The sequence below is a fragment of the Homo sapiens genome, chromosome 3 (assembly GCF_000001405.40).
Source record: "Homo sapiens chromosome 3, GRCh38.p14 Primary Assembly".
Taxonomy (NCBI): Eukaryota; Metazoa; Chordata; class Mammalia; order Primates; family Hominidae; genus Homo; species Homo sapiens.
This window is the reverse complement of record NC_000003.12, coordinates 125,225,290-125,246,613: the sequence shown is the minus strand read 5'-3', so window position 1 is coordinate 125,246,613 and position 21,324 is coordinate 125,225,290. Positions and strand designations below refer to the sequence as shown.

General features: G+C 36.0%; 1 protein-coding gene across 12 annotated transcripts in view, besides 3 other annotated features; it reads left to right on the top strand.

Annotated features, from left to right (window-relative positions):
- ZNF148 (zinc finger protein 148) overlaps nucleotides 1–20,945 on the top strand; it is a 149,686-nt gene extending 128,741 nt beyond the window's left edge. For all 12 annotated transcript variants that reach the window (NM_001348426.2, NM_001348431.2, NM_001348428.2 and 9 more), the window contains 2 exons: nucleotides 12,285–12,403; nucleotides 12,675–20,945. In NM_001348426.2, the coding sequence (NP_001335355.1) occupies nucleotides 12,285–12,403; nucleotides 12,675–14,273 (1,718 nt within the window). In that variant the 3' untranslated portion in view covers nucleotides 14,274–20,945. The remainder of the gene's footprint in view (nucleotides 1–12,284; nucleotides 12,404–12,674) is intronic.
- Nucleotides 13,450–14,649: an enhancer, noted in NCBI's record as "P300/CBP strongly-dependent group 1 enhancer chr3:124950809-124952008 (GRCh37/hg19 assembly coordinates)". NCBI's record gives its function as "activates an origin of replication core promoter dependent on BRD2, BRD4, P300/CBP, MED14 and CDK7 cofactors, with strong dependence on P300/CBP, by STARR-seq in HCT116 cells {active_cell/tissue: HCT116}" and the evidence as "EXISTENCE:reporter gene assay evidence [ECO:0000049][PMID:35650434]".
- Nucleotides 13,450–14,783: a biological region, named in NCBI's record as "P300/CBP strongly-dependent group 1 enhancer GRCh37_chr3:124950809-124952008".
- Nucleotides 14,583–14,783: a silencer, noted in NCBI's record as "peak4809 fragment used in MPRA reporter construct". NCBI's record gives its function as "represses an SCP1 promoter by STARR-seq MPRAs in K562 erythroleukemia cells {active_cell/tissue: K562}" and the evidence as "EXISTENCE:reporter gene assay evidence [ECO:0000049][PMID:32103011]".

The window sequence follows — 21,324 nt, the reverse complement described above, 5'->3', positions numbered from 1 at the left end:
GAGCTGTTATACTACTGTGCTAGGCTTCTTTCTTAAATTCCTACTTCACATTAATTATCTCATTTAACATTTGGCTCTGAGGTATATTCTATTATTTCCATTTTGCAGATGAGAATATAAAGTCGTAGAAGTTTAAATACATGCTTATTTCTCACAGTAAGAAATGCTGAGACCAGCATTAAAACTCAGCTCATCTGGCTGTAGAACCTGTACTCTTAAGTACTATTTTATGTTGCATCACATAATGGTACATGATCTTTTTTTGGTTAGTGTAATAGTTATGATGCTTGAAAATTTTATTGTCTACCCTTTGTAATTTATTAAATATGGATGTTTCCTTGTGTTGTCAAGTGTGTTTATTATGCCATGTTAACTTTGTCATAGTCTCATCATTATTTTTCACCCAGATTTTATGAAGACCCTTTATTATTAAAATAATTTTCACATATATTCTGATTAATACAACAGTGGATACCATTTTTTGAGTATTAAGTGCTTTACATTTGCTGTCATAACAAAGAATTGATTTGGGGAAGTTTTGTAGAAAAAAATCAGCAGAAAATGATTATGGAGGTAAGAAAAAAGCATGGTAGTTTAGGAATAGAAAGAAAGCCACTTTGATTAGAGCTCAGAAAGCAGAGTGGGGAATTGCGAAGACAGGTCAGACACAAGAAAGGTAGGGGCCAGAAGAATAGAGGACCCTGTTTTAATTTTTATTCTTAGAACAGCAGAAGACCAATAGTATGCTTTAAACATGATCAGATTTACTTAAATAAACAGAGGCTGGCTGTAATGTGGAATTAGAAGAAGATAATAGATCCCAGAGAAACTACTCCTTAGGAGGATATTATGTGATAGGCTAGACCACAGGATGATGGTGTCTTGACCTTTGGGTGATGACAGTGGGAAGTGGAGAGAAGTGAACAGATTTGATAGGTATTTAGTAGGCTGAATCAGTAGGGCCTGTCAATTGTCCAAATATGGAGAGAGGATAAAGAAGAAAAAAGCTGTACAGTTCTCTCATTTGTGCAGTTTAGAGGGGAGAGGAGTGCCATTTGTGGCATAAGCTGTAAGTTGAAGATTGTATTAGTCCATTCTCACATTGCTGTAAGGACATACCCAAGACTGGTAATTTATAAAGAAAAGAGGTTTAATTGACTCACAGTTCCACATGGCTGGGGAGGCATCAGGAAACTTGCAATCATGGTGGAAGGGGAAGAGGCAAGTCTTACGTGGTGGCAGGTGAGAGAAAGCGAGCAAGAGCAGGAAAATTGTTTTAGAAAGCAGTCAGATCTCGTGAGAACTCACTATCAGGAGAACGGCATGAGGGGAAATGCCCCCATGATCCAGTCACCTCTCACCTGGTCCCTCTTTGACACATGGGGATTATGGGGATTACAATTTGAGATGAAATTTGGGTGCGGAACAGAGCCAAACCATGTCACAGTCCCTAAGTTTATTGTGGGATATGATGTATTTGAGATCCTTAAGTGTTACAGAAGTGGATATATTACATAAGCAGTTTGGATATGTGGTTTTGGAGATCTTGAGAGTAATTAAAGCTATGGATAGATGGGCTTCCCTTCATGCCAAAGAGAAAAATATAGAATGAGATAAGCAGAAAGCTTGTTTTGAAGAACTAAAACATTTCACATTTGGAAGGAAGAGGGTGAGCTGGAAAGACCACTGAGAAGGAGCAGTTGGAGAGGTTGAAGGAGTATGGATGTCATAGATGCCAAGGCAAAAGTGAGTTTCAAGAAAAAGAAAGGGATCACTTTGAGTTGAATGCTTGTTGAGAGGACTAGTAAGATTTCTGGGCCAGGTGCGATGGCTCATGCCTGTAATCCCAGCACTTTGGGAGGGCAAGGCGGGTAGATCACTTGAGGTCAGGAGTTCAAGACCAGCCTGGCCAACATGGTGAAACCCCATCTCTACTAGTAATACAAAAATAAGCTGGGCATGGTGGTGCATGCCTGTAATGCCAGCTACTCAGGAGGCTGAGGCAGGAGAATCACTTAAACCAGGGAGGTGGAGGTTGCAGTGAGCCGAGATGGCACCATTGTCCTCCAGCCTGGGGGACAAGAGCGAAACTCCGTCTCAGAAAAAAAAAAACAAAAAAGATTTCTGAAGAGACTTGGTTGTATTGGTGACCTGAGTGTGATTTACAAGAACCATTTTGATATGGTGGGTCATTGCAGCAGCCGGATGGAATGGTTTGAAGAGGGAAAGGAAGGTTTGCAGTTGCCAAAAATCAGATTAGTATGTCAAACCATAGTGAGCTAGATTATACATAAATCTTATGTCTTTATAACTCTCTCATATATAGTTTACCTTAACAGTTACCCATATATTATAGTAAAAATTTTTATCCATAAACAGCTGATTGTGTGCAATGTCAGAGTTACCAGGGAGAAACATCACATTGGGGAAACAGTCTCACTGGAAAACTGTTAGAAGAGAAACTTTAGGGCCCTTGGGTAGGGGAAAATTATCATTTTGTGGGACACCTGGAGATTGTTTTTTTCCTTACCGTGTTATTGCTTTCCTGGATGTAAAAAACATTTAAAATTTCTTGATACTTTTCAGATAAGCTTTTTGTGTCATTCTTGAAATCACTCAAGTGCTGTATAGATTTATCTTCCTTTTCCAGTAGAGAGGCTTTAGCCCTCAAGGGGAAAAATGATAAAGGGATTTTCTCAATAAGGGAATTTTTCATTTAAGTGTTTTTATTTTTCTCAGGAAAAATAGATATCAGTCATTTTATTCTTATTTCAAGAATCAAGAAACAGGTCAGACGTGGTAGTTCATGTCTGTAATCACAATACTTTGGGAGGCTGAGTTGGGAGGATCACTTGAGGCCAGGAATTCGAGACCAGTCTGGACACCGTAACAAGACCCTGTCTCTATAAAAAAAATTTTCTTAATTAGCTGGGCATGGTGGTGCATGCCTGTGGTCCTGGCTACTTGGGAGGCTGAAGTTGGGGAGGATCACTTGAGCCCAGGAGTTCACGGCTGCAGTGAGCTATGATTGTGTCACTCCACTCCAGCCTGGGTGCCAGAGTGAGACCCTGCTCTTCAAAAAAAAGAATCAGAAACATACGAAAGTACACACATCAGGAATAAGATGTAGAGCCCATTATCACTACTTCTTTTTAATTGTTTGAGAATAGTGGATGAGAAAAATAAGTTAAAAAATATTTTCTGCAAGCAATATGATTATAAACTTGGAAAACCCAAGAGGTTCAACTGAAAAATTACTGCAAATAAGTAAATTCATTAAAATAGCAGAAAACCATACCCTTTGTATAGCCACACACACATACGCAGGGAATAGAAGATATAACAGAAGAAAACACTCTTTTCACAATATCAATGAGAAGACAAGCCCAGGAATGAATTTAAGAAGATGTAGAAAATCCCATATGAGGAAATCATTCAAAGCACTACGGAGGATACAAAGGTTTGTGAAATGGGAAGGCGTATCTTTTTTCTTCCTAGGTGAAAAGAGTAAACATGGTAAATAATATCAAATTGTTCATAAGTTAACATAAACACTTCAGAGAACTCTCCTCCCTCTAATTCTAGATAAGCTAATTCTGAAATTTATATGGAAAGTGGTCCAGCAGGACAAACGAGAAGAATGCAGAAAAAGCAATGAGGAAGATTAGCCTTACCAACAATAAAGGATATTATAAAGGCTTATGAATTGAAACATTTTGGTTCTGGCTTATGAACAGTCACACTAGTGGAACAGATGAGCAGGTCTAGGGATAGACCCATGGAACTTAATTAGTGTGTGATTATGATAAAGGAATGGTAAGTGTGATCAAGAAAAGCTGAACTTTTCAACAAATGGTGTTGGGGAAACTGGATAGCCATCTGAAAAAACAAAAGTTTTGTCCATACCTCACATTCTGCCTCAAGATAAGCTCCAAATATATGAGGATTTGTTTTTCATTTTTGTTTTTTTTGTTTTTGTTTTTGAGACAAGAGTCTCACCCCTTTGCCAGGCTGGAGTGCAGTGGCGCAGTCTCGGCTCACTGTAACCTCTGCCTGCTCCCCGACACCAGATTCAAGCAATTCTCCTGCTTCAGCCTCCCAAGTAGCTGGGATTAGGCGTGTGCCACCACGCTTGGCTAAGTTTTGTATTTTTAGTAGAGACGGGAAATTTTGTCATGTTGGCCAAGCTGGTCTCAAACTCCTGACCTCAGGTGATCCACCTGCCTCGGCCTCCAAGAGTGCTGGGATTATAGGCATGAGCCACTGCACCCGGCCATATGAGAGATTTAATGTAAAAAATGAAACTTAACAGTTTAAACTTATGTGTCTGAAAATATGAGCAGATCGGAGTGGAGAAGTCTTTTCTAAATAACACTCAAAATCCAGTATCCATAAAAGAAAAGATTGATACATTCAACTACATAAAAATGAAAATCTCTACTAGCAAACAACTCTACCCCTACCATTCAAGGGCAGGGGAAAGGCCAGGAAAAAATCCTGAAACTCATTATAGACAAAAGACCAACCTTCTTAATAAAGCTATTTCAAGTCATCAAGCAAAAAACCTGGAACTACAAAAAAGTAGGTGGAAGATACGAGCAGACAGTTCGCAGAAGATGAAATATAAGATGGCTCCATCCACCTCCTGCTGAGATAATGTTTTTTCACCTATTAGATATGTAGTCATCAGAAAGTTTGACAACATAGTGAGTTATAGGGAAATAGTAACACATCCATGGCTGGTATGGGAGTACAGATTCATAGCATTTCCTGTGGAGACCAGTTTAGTAATACATTTCAAAATCATGAACATATGTTTTATTTGTCCAGAAATTCTTTTTATGAGTGTTTATTCCACAAATATACCTGCATATATGTGAATTAATACATTTACAAGTTATCCAGTACAAAATCATAATAGCAAATGTTGGGAAATGATAGAGGATTGATTAAATAAATTGTAGTATGTCTTTCCATCAGTGAAAAATAAATAACATCCGCTGTCAGAAAGAATGAGCTAATTCTCTTTCTGCTGCTAAGATCTCCAAAATACATTGTTGACTGAAGGAAAAAGAAAAGATAAGAACAGTGAATTAAATATGCTATCTTTGTAAAAGAATGAGGGAAAAGTAGAAAAGATTATGTATTCATTTTTACTTATGTTGTGTCAAGAAACCTGGCCAGGTGCATGCCTGTAATCCCAGCTACTCAGAAGGTGGGAATATCACTTGAGTCCCTGAATTCGAGACCAGCCTAGGCAATATAGCGAGACCCTGTCTTTAAAAAAAAAAAAAAAGAAAGAAAGAAAAAAGAAAGAAACTCTGTAAAGAAACTCGCACAAACAAATAAATGTAGTTACCTTTGTCGGGGCCAAAGATAGGAGGAAGACATTTTCCTGTATACTCTTTTTAAGTGTTTTGATTTTTTTTTAACTCTGTAAATACATTCCCTAATCCATAAATAGGGATCCTTAAGTGGCAAAACTTAAATTTTAAAAATATCTAGAATGGCTAGTTTTAAAAGAAAGGAATGGAGATGAGTATAAGAATGGGAGGGAGGAAAAGGGATATGAAAAAAGATGGTACAGTAAAAAAGGAAGGAAATATGTACTAAAGGAGAACAAGAGACAGGAATAAAAAATGAGAACCAATCAAAAAATAATAAATGACCATGGAAGGTGAATTTATGTTTGCATTCATTTTTGACTGAGTTAGCCATCATAATTGCTCTATTTAGTTGGGAGGAGGATTGTTTTTAGCAACAAAAGAACATTTGTACAAATTACTTTTAAGGCGTTAATGTTTCTGGTTTTGTTTTGGTTTTTGGTTTTTGGTTTTTTTTTTTTTTTGCAGACAGGATCTTGCACTTGTCACCCAGGCTGGAATGCAGTGGCGCAATCACAGCTCACTGCAGCCTCAACCTCCCAGGCTCAAGTAATCCTGCTGCCTGCACCTCTGAGTAGCTGGGACCACAGACATGTGCCACCACACCCTGCTAATTTTAAAAAATTTTTTGTAGATACAGGGTCCACTGTGTCACCCAGACTGGTCCTGAACTTCTAGACTCAAGTGATCCTCCCGCCTGAACCTCTCGAAGTGCTGGGATCAGTGGCTTGAGGCAGCACACCTGGTTGACTTTTTTGTTAAAGGAAATGCCGTAGTGTTGCTTTTAGTTAAATAAACTGTTAATTATTGGTTCATCTATTAGAATGTAGCAAGTAATTTAAACATGGGTTTTCTCCAGTTTGTGTATGTATGTGTGTATTTATTCATTCAGAGACGGTGGCTTGGGGGTGTTTCGCCATGTTAGCCAGGCTGGTCTTGAACTCCTGGCTTTAAGTGATCCGCCTGCCTCATCCTCCCAAAGTGCTGAGATGACAGACGTGAGGCGCTGCACTCGGCTTTCTCCAGTTAATTTCTTTTTAATTAATCTTGAGCTCCTTGAGGGAAAAAAATAACTTCTCACTTTGCATAGTATCAATTGTATTACCATGCATATTTAAAAATAACGTTACTGAGATATAATTCACAATTTCAGAAAACCCACCCATTTAAAATGTATAATTCATTAGTTTTTAGTATGTTCACAGAGTTGTACAACTATCACCACTATCTGGTGTTTAGAATATTTTTGTCACCCCCCAGAAGAAAACCTATACCTGTTAGTAGTCACTCCCCATTCTCCACTCCCTTCCAGCCCTGGGTCACCATTAATCACTTTCTGTCACTGTGGATTTGCCTATTTGGGGCATGTGTGTAGCCTGCACTTTCTTTCTTTTTATAGTTGAGTAATATTCCATTCCATTTTTATAGTTGGATATGTCACATTTTCATTCACTTATTGGTTGAGGGACATTTGGGCCGTTTCCTCTTTTGGCCATTGTGAATAATGCCGCTATGAATACTTGTGCATGAGTTTTTGTGTGAACTTCACATTTTTAGTTGTCTTGGGTATGTGCTTAGGGGTGAAATTGCTGGGTCATATTTAACATTTTCATGGTCTGCAAAACTGTTTTCCAAAGCACTTAATACCATTTTACAGTTCTACCAGCCTTGTATGAGGGTTTCAATTCTCTACATCCATGCTTTTGTTATTATTATTTTAGCCATCCTCGTGGGTGTGAAGTGGTGAAATCAAGTGAAATCTTGTGGTTTTGATTTATATTTCCCTGATGATCATGATGGTGAGCATCTTTTCATGTGCTGATTGGTCATTTGTATATCTTCTTTGGAGAAATGCGCATTCAGATCCATTGCCTATTTTTAAATTAGTTGTGTGTTTCCCATTGAGTTGTAAGAGTTCTCTTTATATTCTGGATACACGTTCCTTATCTGATACATGATTTGTAAATATTTTTTATTCCATTCTGGAGTTATGTCTTCACTTTTTTACAACCATACCATGAAGTTTATCATAAGTGTGCAATTCAGTGACATTAAGTACATATATAATGTTGTGTAACCGAATAGAAACTCTGTACCCATTAAGCAATAACTCTCTTTTCCCCTCTTCTTCAGTCCTGATAACCACTGTTCTACTTTCTATCACTCTGAATTTTCCTGTTCTAGATACCGCATATAAGCAGAATCATTCCACATTTGCCCTTTTGTATCTGGCTTCTACATTTAGCGTAATGTCTTCAAGATTCACTCATGTTGTAGTATGTATCATAATTTCATTTTTCTAGGTGAATAATACTTCATTCTTTGTATGTGTCACATATTTCTATCCATTCATCTGTTGATGGACACTTGGGTTACTTCTGCCTTTTGTCTATTTTGAATAATTCTGTGATCAGTGTTGGCATACAAGCATCTGTTTGAATCCATGTTTTCAATTCTTTTAGATATGTACCTAGGAATGGAATTGCTGGGTCATGTGATAATTCTGTTAAACTTTTCGAGGAAGTGCCAAACTCTTCCTCAGTCCCAACAGCAGACATATTTCCTAAATGTCATTTCATTTGTGTGTGCGTTTTTTTTCCTTTAGACAGAGTCTTTTTCTGTCGCCCAGACTAGAGTACAGTGGTGTGATCTCGGCTCACTGCAACCTCTGCTTCCCAGGTTCAAGTGATTCTCCTGCCTCAGCCTCCTGAGTAGCTGGGATTACAGGAGTGTGCCACCATGCCTGGCTAATTTTTGTATTTTTAGTAGAGACAGGGTTTCACCATGTTGGCCAGACCGGTCTTGAACTCCTGACCTCAAGTGATCCACCCGCCTCTGCCTCCCAAAGTGTTGAGATTACAGGTGTGAGCCACAGTGCCTGGCCTATCTTTTCATTTTTTTGATAGTGTCCTTTGAAGCATGAAAGTTTTAAATTTTGATTAAGTCCAATTTATTTATTTTTTGTTTGCTTGTGCTGCTTTTGATTTTATATAGGAAACCATTGCCTAACTAAGGTCATAAGGATTTATTCCTATATTATATTCTACCATTTTTATAGTTTTAGGTCTCACACTTAGGCCTGTAATCCATTTTCAGTTAACTTTTGTTTATGATGTGAGAGGTGTGGGAGTTGGTTGGGGGGGGTCTAACTTCATTCTTTTGTATGTGGGTATCAAATTTGTTGAAAAGACTATTCTTTCCCCATTACCTTGGCACCTTTTTAGAAAATCAGTTGACCATAAATGTAAGGATTTACTTTTGGACTCTGAATTTTATTCCTTGATATGTATGTCTTGTCCTTAAGCTATTATCACAATATCTTGGTTATTGTGGTTTTGTAGTAAATTTTGAAATCTGGAAGTATAAGTCCTCCTGCTTCATTCTTCTTTTTCAAGATAGTTTTGGCTCTTTTAGATGCGAATTTTAAGATTAGTTCGTCAATTTCTGTTTTAAATCTGTAGATCAGTTTGAGGAGTTTTGCCATCTTAATGTTAAGTCTTCCAATCCACAAATATATAGAATTAATTGAATTGTAATCAACTTACTGATTTTTCTCTTTCATTATCACTTTTGATAAATAACTGTAACTTCTGACGTTAATGAGCTCTATCATCTACATTCTTTTTTAAATTTAGTTTAATTTTTTTTGAGATGGGGTCTCACTCTGTCACCCAGGTTGGAGAACAGTGGCTCGATCTTGGCTCTCTACAACCTTCACCTCCCAGGCTTGAACGATCCTTCCACCTCAGCCTCCCGAGTAGCTGGAACCATAAGTGCACACCATCACACATGGCTAAATTTTTGTATTTTTAGTAGAAACAGGTTTCCCCATGTTGCCCAAGCTGGTCTTGAACTCCTGAGCTCAAGCAGTTCACCCACCACAGCCTCCCAAAGTGCTGGGATTACAGGCATGAGCCACTGCACCCAGCTTTACCAGCTCTATTTCAAAATTTGCACGTATTCTTTCTTCCCCTGTCCAACAACATTGCCTGTAATCTCCTTCCCTTCCCATCTTGGTTCCTCTGGATTTTGTTCTTTTGATTGTGCACCATTTCGGCGGTATTCAGTATTGATAATCAGTTTCTCTTCACTGGCTCCTCTGCCTTCAGTCAATTCAGTCTCCCTGTCCTAAACAGTGCTTATTCTGGAATGGATTGCCTCTTAACTATTATTTCCCATCTCCATCTTCTCATTTCTTTCACTTCCAAACTTCCTTTATAAGTGACTTTCTCTCCCAGCTTCCATTGCTTCATTAGTTAATGCATTCATTACCCCTTGACCAAGTGCCTTAACTTTTCGGCCTTCAATATTTCCTTTCTGTAAAATGAGTGAATTGGTCTGGATTCATTGTAGTAAGCTGTCTTTCTAGTCTGAATCTTTGGAACCCTTACTTGGAGCCCCATTGTATACAAGTGAGCTATTCTGTACTAATTTTGAGTGGCAAGCTTTGAGCCTGTTGCCACATCAGCAGCCGTCCGTGTGGGCCTCTCGAGCTTGAAAGAGCACAGCTCAAAAGCCACGGGAAACGCTTCAGCTCTAAAATTTGGTAGCTCTGCAGTAATTACTGAAGTTACATTCCTGAAAGTTTTAAACAATTTACTTGTGGCCAAATTAAATTCTCTTCTTAGACACCATTTCTCCTGCACATTTTATAGTATCTAAACACTTAGAGTACTGTTATTTCCCTCCCCACCCCCAACATTTTTTTCCCCTTGGCTTTAATCTCTCTGCTACTCAGCTTAAATTTCAACACTTCTAAGAAACCATTCCAAATCATACTAGCTCATAGTAACATTTTCCCCTTAATAATCCACTGTAATGGTCACTATTTATGCCTTTCATTTGGCACTTAAAATTATCACAAGGGGCAAGGCGCAGTGGCTCATGCCTGTAACCCCAACACTCTGTGAGGGCAAGGCAGGAGGAGGATTGCTTGAGCCTGGAGTTCAAGACAGGCCTTGGGCAACATAGTGAGATCCCATCTGTACAAGAAAAAAATTTTTTTTTAATTGTGTAAGGTACTTTGAACTACATCAGTATAATTTAGGCCTGGATTCTGACCTAAAGAAATATAATCTAGTAGAAGAATAGAGATATGCAAAATAATTAAATATAATTATTTCTTTTTTTTTAATACTTTAAGTTTTAGGATACATGTGCACAATGTGCAGGTTTGTTACATATGTATACATGTGCCATGTTGGTGTGCTGCACCCATTAACTCGTCATTTACATTAGATATATCTCCTAATGCTATCCCTCCCCCCTCCCCCCACCCCACAACAGTCCCCGGTTTATGATGTTCCCCTTCCTCTGTCCAGGTGTTCTCATTGTTCAATTCCCACCTATGAGTGAGAACATGCAGTGTTTGGTTTTTTGTCCTTGTGATAGTTTGCTGAGAATGATGGTTTCCAGCTTCATCCATGTCCCTACAAAGGACATGAACTCATCCTTTTTTATGGCTGCATAGTATTCCATGGTGTATATGTGCCACATTTTCTTAATCCAGTCTATCGTTGTTGGACATTTGGGTTGGTTCCAAGTCTTTGCTATTGTGAATAGTGCAGCAGTAAACAACTCAGTAATTTGAAATTTAAAAAAAGTTTAACTCAATGATTATTGAGTTGAAAGTACTGAGTGCCATAGAAGAGGTACAGATAGAATTCTGTGGAAACTTAAAGATACCTTTCACCTGGGAGAAAAGGACAGAGTATCCCAAAGGAGATGGGTTGGGTCTCAAAGGGAATATAGTATTTGAACACCCAAAGGTGGACATTCCCAATCGAAGGAGCAGCGTGAATCAGGGCAAAAGTAGGAAAGCATGAGATGGTAGGTATTTCGGTTTGTCTGAAAGGGTTACCAAGAGAAAGAGTGAAATATAAAGATGTAAAAGTAAATCAGAATAGACATAGTGTTGTTAGTTGTCTTTTTAAAATGTGTGTATCTTGTTTTCCCAATTATGTTATAAACTTTGAAGACAAGTAGTATGTCTTATACTTTTAACCTCCTACAACAAGGGGTTTGGATATAGTAGTAGTATTTGGTAAAAATTTTGTTAAATGTATGAAAGGGAGAAACAGTAGTTTCCCCAACAAGCATTATTCAAGGTAACTTCTTGTCATACCCTTCTGTTTACTTAGACTGTGGTTTTATCAGTAAAAACTATTTTAGAGCTTCATAGTAGTGGTTCTTTACAGCTTAGAAATCATTGCGGGGGCCAGTGGCACAATGGATAACACACCTGACTATGAATCAGAAGATTCTAGGAGTCATTAGGGGATTTTCAAAAATGGGGGTTATGTGTTATGTGTCCAATTAACAATACTCAGTTTAATTCATTCCCTAAATGATATGGGAAGTGCTGGCTTGAGTTGAGGAAAAGAATAAATATAAACAAACTTAAGACTCTAAGTTCTTTTTGTATTTTATTAAATTAGATTTTAAAGGATATTTTCAGGATTCAGATTTTATTTAACCACAAATGTTTTAAAAAAGGAATTGAGTTAAAAAACTGTCTCCAGGAATTGTGTTGTATTGTGCATGGGTAACTTTTTGTTTTTTACTGTTATACAATATTTTATATGATTGAAAAAAAGATTAGAAACATCAGCTAGTCTGTTCATATTGCTATAAATTCCTGGCACTGCTGTTCTCCTTGGAAAGAGGGTATTACATACGCACATAACAAAAAGACAGGAAAATGGACTGTGCCTGTATTCATCCTTTTCTTTCCAATAGCATATGCTAATCCTTTTCATTTTTATAAAGCAAAATATATTTGACAAATGAAATTGGAAGTTACAACTTTCAAAAGCCATTTATTTTAGAGATTCTTATGGCAAAGCAATTCATTATTTTACAATATTTGTTTTGTTTTAAACTTTCTATATTATGTGCTAGGTGAAAAACCATTTCGCTGTGATGAATGTGGTATGAGATTCATACAAAAATATCATATGGAAAGGCATAAGAGAACTCATAGTGGAGAAAAACCTTACCAGTGTGAATACTGTTTACAGGTAAGAGAGATGGCTTGAAATTCTTCTACTGTAATTAAATTATACAATAATTATAAATTAGATTAGAAAATATTACAACTTAGAGCTATTTAAGGGGCCTTCTAACTCTTACAGATTAGATTTATAATAGAAAATTGGCTCAGTGAATTTGTTTGGAATTATGTATGTTATTGCATTAATATATCTTTATATTAATTGTTTTGTTTCACTTTTTCTTTTCTTGGTTGACCAAAACCACAAACAACCCACTACCATCCTCTGAATTCAACAGTATTTTTCCAGAACAGATCGTGTATTGAAACATAAACGTATGTGCCATGAAAATCATGACAAAAAACTAAATAGATGTGCCATCAAAGGTGGCCTTCTGACATCTGAGGAAGATTCTGGCTTTTCTACATCACCAAAAGACAACTCACTGCCAAAAAAGAAAAGGCAGAAAACGGAGAAAAAATCATCTGGAATGGACAAAGAGAGTGCTTTGGACAAATCTGACCTGAAAAAAGACAAAAATGATTACTTGCCTCTTTATTCTTCAAGTACTAAAGTAAAAGATGAGTATATGGTTGCAGAATATGCTGTTGAAATGCCACATTCGTCAGTTGGGGGCTCGCATTTAGAAGATGCGTCAGGAGAAATACACCCACCTAAGTTAGTTCTCAAAAAAATTAATAGTAAGAGAAGTCTGAAACAGCCACTGGAGCAAAATCAAACAATTTCACCTTTATCCACATATGAAGAGAGCAAAGTTTCAAAGTATGCTTTTGAACTTGTGGATAAACAGGCTTTACTGGACTCAGAAGGCAATGCTGACATTGATCAGGTTGATAATTTGCAGGAGGGGCCCAGTAAACCTGTGCATAGTAGTACTAATTATGATGATGCCATGCAGTTTTTGAAGAAGAAGCGGTATCTTCAAGCAGCAAGTAACAACAGCAGGGAATATGCGCTGAATGTGGGTACCATAGCTTCTCAGCCTTCTGTAACACAAGCAGCTGTGGCAAGTGTCATTGATGAAAGTACCACGGCATCCATATTAGAGTCACAGGCACTGAATGTGGAGATTAAGAGTAATCATGACAAAAATGTTATTCCAGATGAGGTACTGCAGACTCTGTTGGATCATTATTCCCACAAAGCTAATGGACAGCATGAGATATCCTTCAGTGTTGCAGATACTGAAGTGACTTCTAGCATATCAATAAATTCTTCAGAAGTACCAGAGGTCACCCCGTCAGAGAATGTTGGATCAAGCTCCCAAGCATCCTCATCAGATAAAGCCAACATGTTGCAGGAATACTCCAAGTTTCTGCAGCAGGCTTTGGACAGAACTAGCCAAAATGATGCCTATTTGAATAGCCCGAGCCTTAACTTTGTGACTGATAACCAGACCCTCCCAAATCAGCCAGCATTCTCTTCCATAGACAAGCAGGTCTATGCCACCATGCCCATCAATAGCTTTCGATCAGGAATGAATTCTCCACTAAGAACAACTCCAGATAAGTCCCACTTTGGACTAATAGTTGGTGATTCACAGCACTCATTTCCCTTTTCAGGTGATGAGACAAACCATGCTTCTGCCACATCAACACAGGACTTTCTGGATCAAGTGACTTCTCAGAAGAAAGCTGAGGCCCAGCCTGTCCACCAAGCTTACCAAATGAGCTCCTTTGAACAGCCCTTCCGTGCTCCCTATCATGGATCAAGAGCTGGAATAGCTACTCAATTTAGCACTGCCAATGGACAGGTGAACCTTCGGGGACCAGGGACAAGTGCTGAATTTTCAGAATTTCCCTTGGTGAATGTAAATGATAATAGAGCTGGGATGACATCTTCACCTGATGCCACAACTGGCCAGACTTTTGGCTAAAAAAAAAAAAAAAGTGTAAATAATACTGGCACTTTAGAACAGATTAATCAAGAGTGGGGTTACTCTGTGTAAATGGAGTGCTGTACAGATTTAAGAGCAATGCGTAATAACAAGTTAAGCTGATATGAATAGCAAGATAATCCAATAACTGCATTTCGTTTGGTTAGTCAGCATTCTTTGAACTGCCTTACATGTTGTCACCTTTATAGAAGCAATGCATTACTTGTTTTAGATCAGAAACTTGCTATTCCACCCACACCAAGTTAAAAAGGAAAAAAAAAAGACTTTCGCACAATTGTTTCCTAACTGATAACATTGTACATTCTTAGGAGATTAGTAATTGTGTGAAATTTACTCATACTGTTTCTAAGTTTTTCAGCATAGTCATTGCACTTCAGCAGGGAATCTGAGTATACTTTACAGACAGAGTGAACTTAAAAGTTTAATGTCAAGAGATTATGGCTTAAATAAATTAGTGTGTCCTATAGGGGGAAAAAAACCAAGAAACCACCTTTTAAAAAGAATGATATGCCATATACCCTTGATTTTCATTTTGCATTATATTGACGTGTTTTTTTGAAGGAAAAAAAGTAATAAAAATCTGATAGTCTAAGACTCCACTATTTAAAAGCCTAATTACTTTAAAAATATGCATACTTTCAGAACTTTTACCAAAACACACAACTGTTGAAGCAGTCACTTCTCTATGGAAGTATGCATATTGGTGTCAGTTTCTTTGTACAGTTGTACTTAGATATTTTTTATGATTTTTCATGTGCAGGTATCAAGGTTTTGAAGTTTTAGTAAAAGAAATTCTGTAGATTACATTCCCAAGAACATAATGCTTACACAAAATGTATATTCCACGTTTTAAAGCTTAATTGTATTTTACTTTACATATACACTTCAGTTAACATAGAGCACTTAGAATCTATTTGGTATTTTTGATTTCTCAAAGTAAAAAAAAAATTAGATTTTTAGGTTTGATATGGTTGTGTCATAATCATCTCGTAATTGACAATTTTAACTTTTGGCAATAAAAGGAAATTGGGATATCTTTGGAACTGTAAAACCTGGTTTAATCTTTTTCTTTCTAGACTCTTGATAGATTGGATAATTAAACAGTATCCAGAGAAACTAAAGAAATGGGCATTTTAATTGCATATTTTATCTTGAGTTACTTTTTAATGAACACTGCTCATTACAACTTTACAAACCAAAAGTGTTTACTAATTCCAGTAACTACCATTTCTTTTTCAGCTAGATGAGTGATCGGAAAATTTTTGTTGCATTTCAAAATCTAAATAAACTACAGACTTTATCCTTATACCATGAATGTTTTTTTTTAATACTCTGTCTTAAAATAATACAGCATGGTACAATAAATAGTGCTTTTATGTATATATACACACACACACTTTTCTGAAGAATGATGGTTTGAGTTATGCGTTGGGCAGTTTTGATTTTTGGAAGTTATATTAGTTATTGACTCTTTGTTACAACTTTTTCATTTTTACATTTTAAATTTTCTGCCATCGTTGTCACAATGCACATCCTGATATAGCACCAGTGAAAATCTAAAATTAATACCCTTGGAAAATGAAAATATTCTTAATTTCCATTTTGACTCTTATACTGGCCCTATAGCTCTGCAGTCTTTGTTTCAATATAGAATATGTTATCCATTTAAATTATTTTTTCTTTTATTTAATGTTATCCCAAGACTGTTCTCATAAAGAAAGGGAAGAAATAACTATCCACCCTTAACATCCTTCATTTATTTTGAATATATTGGTGTTTTTATGATAAGGAATATAAATTATATTTAATGTGGTTTCCTGTATACTTTGGTTATTAAGTTTTGCTTGAAATAGTAGTTTTCCCGTTTGACAGCTTTCTTTGCTGCCAAAGTTTTCAAGAATTTAAGACTTCTTTGAAGTAAATATTTAAGTTCTGCCATTATTGACTCTTAAGATTGTGTGTGTTGTGTTGTGCATTACATAATTACAAAAAGGCTTCATTCAGGTGATACGTTAAAAATGGAACTGTGCTCACCCTAAATAGGCATTGGTATTTTTCTCTTTTGGTGAGAGTAGGCATTTATTTCTTGAGTTGTTTTGGAGCCTGATCAAAAATTTTGTTCATGGAGAACTTGATGCAATTTTGATACAGTGGAGAGGTTTTTTTCGGTTGTTTTAACATCACCAGCATAGTTTTTAGAATGTGACTCTTGCTGAGCATTTAGGGTGAGCTTGGGAAGGAAGGCCTTTGAAAATGGTAGTTATGCAAGCAGACTTTCAGGTGTTGCATTCCTGTTTTCAACACATTTCTTTAAATCTACATAATGGCAGACTTTTCTACCAGGTTATAAGCAGTTTTTAGATAAGTGATACTCAGCCAGCATAACTTATTGACTTACCATTTACGTATAGTCATCACTCTCTTACTGTGAAATTCCAAATGCCTACCAGAGTTACCTTGTTCTATCATAATATGACAAACATCTCAACAGTTTTGGATTTCCCCACTTTGGTTCAGAAGGTTATTTAATTTCTATCTGGGCATTAATGGAGAAAATAAGTAGCCTTGTGTGCTGCTTCAGATTGAAACATGGAGGATATGAGATATTCTTCTGCAATTCATGTTTCTCATTTCTCAAAGTGAGCACATTGTTCTATAAAAACATGCTGGTACACCCTTAAACTTTTGATCAATCTGAGTGAGGTGTGCTTTTCCTCTTGGGACCTACTCACGTTTGAAGATTGGAAACATCACGTTAGGCGAGGCAGTATCTCTTGAACATCTTCTAAAGGGTTTTTTAAAACCTTATTCTCACATATTTCATTTGTCTTGAATATTTAAGTGGCTCTTAAACGTTTTGGGTCTACATGCAAATGTGGTACTTAACAAGGTAGGAATCCATCTTCTTAGCTCTGGCTGAGGGTGCCAGCCATCGGTCAGGTCATTTTTATCTCAAGAGGCAGAAGGCAGTTATGTCAAGAATTGTGCTCAGGGCAGGATTTCGTTTCCACAGAGGAGAGACACTTGCAGAGTGCCAGCTAGGTTAGATCTTTTGCCGCTTCTTTCATTTGATTAATTTGGGTTTTTAAAGGGCTGTTTAAAAAAAAAAAAAAAAGGCCGGGAAACTTTAAAAGTAGGCATTACTGTAGTACTGCATTTCTTAGAACATTTTAAACTAGAACTCATTTTTTTTTCACAGTATATTTACTTGAAGAAGCACTATAATAATCATTGAGAAGTATTTTGAGTCTGAAATTTAATTTAATTTTCCGTTTCAAATTGCTTTATTTCAGGGAAATAATTTTCCAGTTGTTTTGCTATATTCTGCAAATAAAAACCGTGTTTCCTTTTTTCACTTAAACTTTGGTAGGAAACAAACTAAAGCAGACAAACATTTCTTGTTATGTTTGTTGCTTTCTTTAATCCAATGGATAAAAAAGTAAAACCCTGTAAACATTATTTTATTTTTTTATGCAATACCATGCTGTAAATATGGTTCATCAAATAAGGATGTACCTATGATTGAATCTTTAATTCTGCACAGTTAGAGTTTATATATAAACGTGTCTTGACAATCAAGGACTTTTATGTGAGTCTTCCTTTATGATGTTTATTAATGTTATGCATTCCATTTGTTTTGAAGTGAGTACCAATGTGCTAATTTGTATTGTCTGAAAGTATGTAATGTTTTTACAGCTTGTTTTTAAGAATCTGTAAATATGTACAAACAAATCACAGTACTGCTTTATGTTAGAAGGCATATGATGTTGTACTGTATGTAAGCAATAATACATAGCAGTGCTAACTTTACAAGTAGCATCAGGAAAGTTCTAAAAACATTTCAGAGTTATTAATTATCCTTATTTCATTTAATAATGATTATCTTTAATCAGTTTTTATAAGCAAATTCCATTGTTCCTCCTATTGGAACGTAACACTGTTTACACAGCATAATTGAAGTTGCAGGGGAGACAGGCTAAATCTGACTTCATCTGTACTCACTTTCACTAAGCATTGAATGGCCTTACCACTCTTCTGCAAGATGGAGGAAGACCGCAAAACTTAGTGCCCATCACACTGAAGGAAGGGATGTGGTTTTTTTTCCTGCTTCTGTACTGCTACCTAACTTTGTGATTTGCTTTGGATTTTAATATTTGTTTCTGTTTTAGATTCAAGCCCGTAAGTTTTGAGGTGACTTCAGCTCCATTGTGAAATAGATAGTTCTCTTCATATTTCATAACTACATTTCAATAATTCTAAACTTTCTACATTGATTTTTAGATACTTATTTTTCAAGCTTGGTTTCTCAGCTGATCAGATGAATTTATTCAACTTCAATACAAAGAAAGACAAACCTATTATAGTTTCAAGTGAGTAGATATTATACTGTACAGGACAGCTATTTGAACACACACATCACTGCTTTAGAAATAAAACCGCCAATTTATAAATGTATATGACCTACATTTTATAGGAAAAAATGTTTTTAAATGCTAGTCATTTATATAATGTGCTTTGAAGGATTTGCTAGTCCACTTCTGTCACTTTTTAGTACACTGGTATCTTTTATATGTAATGTATGCTTTTTATTATTGTAGCAAAGCATTTCAGTAGAAAGAATTTTGCAACAATATGGGGGAAATTTTTCATTGTTGGATTTGAATTATACTGGATTTTATCTGTGTAGTCTTACTTGTCTTTATTTTAATGCTGTCTGAAGGGAACTTGGTATCCAAATAAAGCAGGTAACCTCATTTTACTTCAAGGGCATACTGTGTAGTGCTGAATTTAATCTGAAAATCTGATGATTTTGAAAAGAAAAACAAGTTTATAAACATTGTACAGAAGAAATTAAATGTGTGTGATGGAAATCCTGATGGTGGAGCACGTTGAATTTTCTGATATATAGTGTTATTTTCCTGGGATCCCCTATGCCTTCTTTGTATTTCAACTAATAAAGGAAAAACCCTGTCATTAAAACTGGTAAGATAATAGGATATTCTGATTATACAGTATTACTATTCCTATCCCATTTTCTGACCTTTTCTCAATCACTGTAAATTTTTATTTTCTATTTCCTATTGATAATTAAATATGTACATAATATAGACACTGTTGTATAGAACTAAATGAATTGGGTTGCTATGCTTGAGTGGGTAGTGAAATGGAAATATTTGATGAATACTGAGAGTTCCTAAAATGCTAGAGCAAATTTCCGAGGGAAAGGGGGGCATCGTGTGTCTTGGGAAGGTTGCAGCAGGTTGTTTCTTCAACTCCCTAAGAAATCATTGGGAAGGACTCAACTGCAAACTCGGGATCAGATACAAAATGGGTCTTTCCTTCCCCTCTCCCCCAAAAAATAGGAGCACTAAATTTTAAAATCTACTCAGGTGACAGTTGCTTTGCAATGAAACTTATCACATTGAAATTTTCAGTGTTAAATAAAAAGAGATTTGTGATATTTTTAAATATAAACTTTTACATCAGTAGTCAGCAGCCTGACAATTGAAATTTGGTAAGTCGATATATTTTAAAATATTTTGCTCTCCAAATAGAATTGTTTTTAAACAATTGGGAGGTTTTTTGTTTCTTTAAATATGTTTTAATTGTCATTGTAAAAACAAAATCTTGCTTGACCCTATATTATGCCATGAATGAATTGCTGAGCCTTTATAATACAGTGACAGCTTGTTTCATGCATAGTCATGGAACATAGAGATGTTCTTTAAACTGACCTATTGATAAGAGGTTTAATGAGTTTCACGGCTTTCAACACTATTGTCATATAGTTATCTTTGCCATTTGGAGTTTATAAAACCATTTTATGTATTGTGATACTAAAGGAAGTTGTTTTGCTTTACTTTAAATTGAATTATTAGACTAATATTTGCAAATTCTGCATTTTAAATGTGGACACTGGCTGTTTGAAAAATAAAATATAGAATACAGTTTTATGGATAATTTTCGAGCTGAATTTTTCACAATATTCTGAACCAAATAACGAATGGTAAATATGCAAAAATCATGGTGCATAGATATAACCGTAAAGAGAAAAGAATTTCTGTGTGGAATTAACAGTTACACAAATTGGGTAACAATTATCAGGGCCTTTATTATAGCTTTATGTGGAATGTTATTCTAAAATGCAAGAGTCAAATGTTACTGTCATTGAATATTTTAGACTTGAAACGTGTTTATCATAGAGCGAAGAAAATATGTGTTCTTTTCTTTACAGATAAGACTCTGTTAACCCACTGTCAGCATACGTGGGATTTCTTTTCTTTTTTCTTTCATTAGTGGAGATTTGTTTTCATCCATCTACCACCTTGCCAGTACCCTAGCTTGTGACCAGCGGGATGCATTGTAAGAAAGTTGTCTGTGGTTAGGAGTGCAGTCTGGGTCCATGGAACAAATTTAAACTAATTGGCCCTCGCAATGATCAGTCCTAGGACCCTGGCCTTATTATTAGCATGGTGCTTTAACCAATTGTACATAATAATACCACTGATAGTCTACTAATGCATTTCCTAGATCCCAGTTTTTCTTGAATGATTAGGAATGGTGGGGAGAGGGGAGGGGAGATATTCTACATGATACTTCTCCAATCTTCTAAAGATTATAAGAAAAAATAAAAAATTGAAGTCACTTGAATTAATGTGTTGTCATTGAGTCTTACTCGACAATTTATCATGCACAAAGTGATTATGAAGATTTTCCTGATTATATGTTTGGATTGAATTTAAAAATTTTTTTTTTCAGAATGCTGGCTGTTCTGTTTTATTTCTTCTCTGGTGAACCTGATAGGATATAAATTATATTCATATGATGCATAAAGAATGAATGGAGGTGAAAAGTTTTAAGTGAACTAAAGCTAAAATTTGGGTCTCATAATTTTCTTTCTTTTGTCATTTTCAAGTGTAATTAAAAGGAACATTTTACCCAGACATTCACACAGCTGCATATGCATATGTGTAAGAGCTGGGATGTGAAATGTGATATTGTAAATTAGAATGACATTTCAAAGTGATTT